This window comes from Homo sapiens, chromosome 14 (assembly GCF_000001405.40).
Source record: "Homo sapiens chromosome 14, GRCh38.p14 Primary Assembly".
Lineage (NCBI taxonomy): Eukaryota > Metazoa > Chordata > Mammalia > Primates > Hominidae > Homo > Homo sapiens.
Genome location: NC_000014.9, coordinates 86,179,443 through 86,184,981, shown reverse-complemented (window position 1 = coordinate 86,184,981; position 5,539 = coordinate 86,179,443). Strand labels below are relative to the sequence as shown.

At 37.9% G+C, this 5,539-nt stretch overlaps 1 annotated feature.

Moving 5' to 3' along the window:
• Nucleotides 626-795: an enhancer, noted in NCBI's record as "experimental_38415 CRE fragment used in MPRA reporter constructs". NCBI's record gives its function as "activates a minimal promoter by MPRAs in K562 erythroleukemia cells, with activity observed for the non-introgressed 14:86650616 variant allele {active_cell/tissue: K562}" and the evidence as "EXISTENCE:reporter gene assay evidence [ECO:0000049][PMID:34662402]".

Below are 5,539 nucleotides of genomic sequence, written 5' to 3'. Positions count from 1 at the left end.
GCCTCCATGCTCTGACACATTCATTAAATGTAAGACTTCACCTCTTTCTATTCAAAGCCTTACTTTCTTAACCATCAGCAAAATGCAAAAATTATAACTCAAACTACAAGTAATCATTAAGTATCCCAATATCCTGCTCAAATTCTCCATTTTGGATTTGTTTTCAATACAGGCTTTGTCTGTTCAAACCCGTGGCATGTAACTAGGACATGTAATTGTTAAACTGGTCTCCATCATTTGTGCCATCTGCACCTCCTGAATAATAAAACTATTACACAATTAAGAGGCAGTCAATTAGGGATGATTACTAATTACTCTAGACACCTATTAGAGTTGCTTCAGGGAGACCATTGACTCATTTTATGGATGCATTATGAATGCTTTTTTGTATCTCTCCATGAGTACAAGTGAAACTGTGATTTTCAACAACTGCACAAATAATTCAAATTATAATTTAACATAGCTTATTTCAATATGCTCATTTACCTGGGTCACACAAATATTACAAAACTGAATTTCTAGTTTATGATTATATAATAAACCAAATCAGAATCAGTGAATTTATTCTGAGTCATCTTCCTTTTTTTCTTCCACCTTGCCTCCCTCCCTTTTTCTCTACCCCTTTCTCTTCCTTTCTTCCTTCCTTTCCTTTCTACACATTTCCTGTGTGACTCAAAGTTTAGAAAGTTAGCTATATAAGAATTCAGCAAATTGAAATCAAAAGATTTGATCCTAACCTTTTCTCATTTTATTTTTCACTTTTTATGTTAAAAAAGTAAAACATGCACATTGTAAAGTGTTCAGACAATACAGAAGTAACACGCTGTGGTTAAAGCACTGTTAAATTTTGGATGTATGCCTTTTCTAACTTTTTTGAAGTTTTTTATTGGATCAAATTAAATAACATTTATTAAAAATCTAAATTGCACTGGACTCTGATAAATACCAAAGGTGAATGGGATTATCCTTGACGTCAGATGCCAATCACATAGTACAAGGAAATAGATTTATTTACACTATAATAAGTGTGTTTGCTAAAAAGTATACTGAAGAGTGGTGAATTAAATGGGTTTAAGTGTCAGAAATGATACTTTCATGACACGTTTGTATAGAAGGTAAACGTTAATTCTGTAAAGGTAAGAACATGACTTCTTCCCTGCAACCCTTCCTCTGTTAGACTGTATTTAAAAATATACAGTTTAGGTGCTATGTGAGAAATATAGTTGAAAGTGTGCAAAATTAGCACTTTGGGAGGCTGAGGCAGGTGGATCACAAGGTCAGGAGATCGAGACCATTCTGGCTAACACAGTGAAACCCCGTCTCTACTAAAAATGCAAAAAAAATTAGCCAAGTGTGGTGGCGGGCGTCTGTAGTCCCAGCTCGCCACCCAGCTCAGCTGTACTCAGGAGGCTGAGGCAGGAGAATGACATGAAACCTGGAGGCAGAGCTTTCAGTGAGCTGAGATGGTGCCATTGCACTCCAGCCTGGGCAACAGAGAGAGACTCCATCTCAAAAAAAAAAAAAAAAAAAAAAAGTGTGCAAAATTAAAACACTGGACAACTACTTTTTAGTCTTATCTCATTTCTGATCTTCATCCTTGCCTAATTGTATCCATGACTGACAATTCATCAAAGGCATCGTGCATCACCAACTCCTAATTCAAATCCCATGTTGCCATCTAGTTGAGGATCACCAAAGGATTGGCATAAATCAGGGATGAGAAAAGACTCAGGGTAGGGATAAGTGTTGACTTATGCCAATTAAAAGATTTTAAAGGACTCCCTATTCAATAAATGATGCTAGGGCAACTAGCTAGCCATATGTAGAAGATTGAAGTCATACCTCTCCCTTTCACCATGTACAAAAATTAACTCAAGATGGAAGAAATATTTAAATGTAAGACTTCAAACTATAAAAATCTGGAAGACAATGTAAGAAATACTCTTCTTGACATTGGCCTTGTCAAAGAAATTTTGGCTAAGTCCACAAAAGTAGTTGCAACATAAACAAAAATAGACAAGTGGGACCTAATTAAACTGAAAAGGTACCTCATAGCAAAAGAAACTACCAACAGAGCGAAAAGACAACCTACAGCATGGAAGAAGATAATTGCAAACTATGCATTCAACGAAGACCTAATATCCAAAATATATAGGGGCCTTAACAAATCAACAAGCAAAAAACATATAACCCCATTCAAAAATGGTCAAAGGACATGAATGGACACTTCTCAAAAGAAGATATATAAGTGGCCAACAAACATATGAAAAAATGGTGAACATCACTAATCATCAGAGAAATGCAAACCAAAACCACAGTGAGATGCCATCTCACCCCAGTGAGAATGGCTATTATTAAAAAGTCAAAAAATAACAGATGCTGGCAAGGCTGCAGAGAAAAGGGAACACATACTCTGTTGGAGAGGATGTAAATTAGTTCAGCCACTGTGGAAAGCAGTTTGGAGATTTCTCAAATAACTTAAAACAGAGGTACCATTCAACCCATCAATCCCATTACTCAGTATATACTCAAAAGAAAAGAAATAATTCTATCAAAAAGACACAAGCACTTTAATGTTTATCATTGTGCTATTCATAATAGCAATGACATAGAATCAATTCACATGCCCATCAGTGGTAGGTTGGATAAAGAAAATGTAGTACAATGCACCATAGAATACTACACAGCCATAAAAAAGAATGAAATCGTGTCCTTTGCAGCAACATGGATGGAGCTAGAGCCATAATCCTAAGCAAATTAGTGCAGAAACAGAAAACCAAATATCACATGTTCTCACTTATAAGTGAGAGCTAAGCATTGAGCACACATAGTCATAAATATGAGAAAAATAAAAATTGTGGACCACTAAAGGGTTGTGGTGGGGTATAAAAACTACCTATCACATACTATGCTTACTATCGGGGTGACAGGATCTGTACTGCAAACTTCACCCATCACCCAATATTCCCATGTAACAAATCTCCATGTCTCCCTGTATCTAAAATAAATCTGAAATAAAAATAATAAATAAAGACTTTTATTAGTCTATATCAAAATATCTTAGATGAAACTGTCTACATCCAAATGGCCACTAAAAATGATTGCTTTGAAATGTCATGTACACAATAACTGTTTATTTATACAGTATCAGTCAATGAATAAACAAAGAACACTATTGTATCAAATGTTTTACTAATCATTGCCACTATAGAGACATTTATATTGGATAGCTCAAAAAACTACAGAGATAGAAATAACATAATTCTTAAAACATGGCCCAAAATGACCTTAACAAAACATGGGTGAAGGCTATGAAGTTTACATGAGAATGAGGAAGAAATGGAGATGATAAAAATGAAGGGGAGAGAAAGAGATCTCATTCTTAAAATTTACATTTAAAATATCCCCAATTCTAAAAGGTTTTGGTGGGCTACTAAGCATGGGATAAAGGGCTATTCTTCAGGGTACCCACCCCTTTCTCTGTCCTTTAGCCTGGTGCTCAGAGCCCTTACGTTATCAAGATTTGCATATACAATTGAACTAATAAGTTTCCTAGGGCTGCCTTAAAAATTTCTACAAAACAGGTAGCTAAAATAACAGGAATTTTTGGTCTCACGGTTGTGGAAGCCAGAAGTCCTAAATCAAGGTGTTGGCAGGACTCGGCTCTCGCTGATCGCTTGAGGGGAGAATCTATTCCGTTGCTTTCTCTTAGCTTCTGGTATGGGCAGCAGTAATTTTGCATGCGTTGGCTTGTGGGTATATCACTCCAATCTCTTCTATTGTCACATGCCTTCACCTGCATGTCTCTTTTCTTCCCTTTCTTCCCCTTCCCCTTCTTCTGCTTCTGCTTCTGCTTCTGCTTCTTTAGAGAGATGGAGTTTCTCTCTTGTTGCCCAGGCTGGACTGCAATGGCACGATCTCGGCTCACTGCAACCTCCGCCTCCCGGGTTCAAGTAATTCTCCCGCCTCAGCCTCTCCAGTAGCTGGGATTACAGGTTCGTGCCACCACACCCAGCGAATTTTCGTATTTTTAGTAGAGACGGGGTTTCACCATCTTGGGCAGGATGGTCTCAATCTCCTGACCCCGTGATCCTCCCGCTTCAGCCTCCCAAAGTGCTGGGATTACAGGTGTGAGCCACCGTGCCTGACCTCATTTTCTTAAGAGGGCAACAGTCAGATTAGATTAAGGGCCAACCCTGTCACAGTTTGACCTCATCTTAATTAATTACATCTGCAATGAACCTACTTTCAAATAAGTCACATTTTGAGGTTCCAGGAAGGACATGAACTTGTGGGTGGCAAGGGGGGATATTATGCCACCCATACACGGACTAACTTTGCTCAACACAAGTTCAACTTAGCTCCAATAATCTTCGTTAACTCATGGGCATTTGCTTTTAAATACGAATCTCTACCGGTAGAATAAGCATGAATAGTAAAATAAAATACTTTTTTCTACCTGTTAAAACGCTTTGAAGTATCAATAGGGAAGTATCTTAAGGTAGAAAAGAAAGGACAGAAGGGCTGTCTTAGGTCCTTAAGATCACACCAGTGATGCTCAAATCCTCTCTACCTAATTGTTCATTGTTAAAAAGAGTGTGTATATGTCCCCAGGCCACACTCTTAATCAAATAACATAGAGAGCAGCCACATCAGAGAATTCACAATGGCCTGCGGAATAATTGCTTGACCCCATGGCTAGATGGTCTGTAAGCAGACTTGCAAATTGGCAAGCAGAGCTTAAGTGTCAAAAATGGATAGTGATTTCACAGTAAATTATATCGGATCACAGAGGGTAGTGCCATCATCAATTGTAACTTACAATGCTTCTCTGGCAGCAAGAAGAGAATATAAGCATGACCCGTATGTCTTGCACAAAAGTGTCAGTCGGGAAACAAAGCCTCCATTTTCAGGGCATGACCACATGAGGCGGCATTTCAAAGACAAGCATAGAGATCGTTAAGCTCATGGAGGATGAGTGATGGACAAAGATTTACCTAGCTCTGGGGAACCAGAATCCAAAATAAAATTAAAAAAAAAAAATCTTGGCTTCCAGTACCTAGTTGTCAGTTTCTAGTCAGCACTCTTGCAACACAAGGAAAAAAAAAAGAAAAAAGCTACATAAAGCTCACCATTTATAAAATGGTCCTTGGAGTTTAAAACTAAATTAAGAAAAATGTAAAATTGAAAGAAGAAAACATCGTAGGATTGGTGCAGGGGTTTGGGACAGAGTGAGTTAGTTTTGGCAGAAAGATTGCTTCAGAACTCAGGTGACAGTGACTGCTAACAAATGCTTTGAGATTCTTGTTAAATAAATGCTTGTTTGGTGGGTGTGTTTGAAGTTGGAACTGAAAAGTGCTCCAGTTGGCTGGATGTTTAACAAGGCTCTCTTTGGGAGTTCAGCATCTGTCAGGTGAATCAGAACAAGGGTTCTACTTACATGAAGCAGGAGAAAAATTATATCTAATGAGCTGCTAACAACAAGTGTTTATTGAGTTCTCCGAGGCATGTTCAAATCAGACACAAGTTAAAAGGCTAA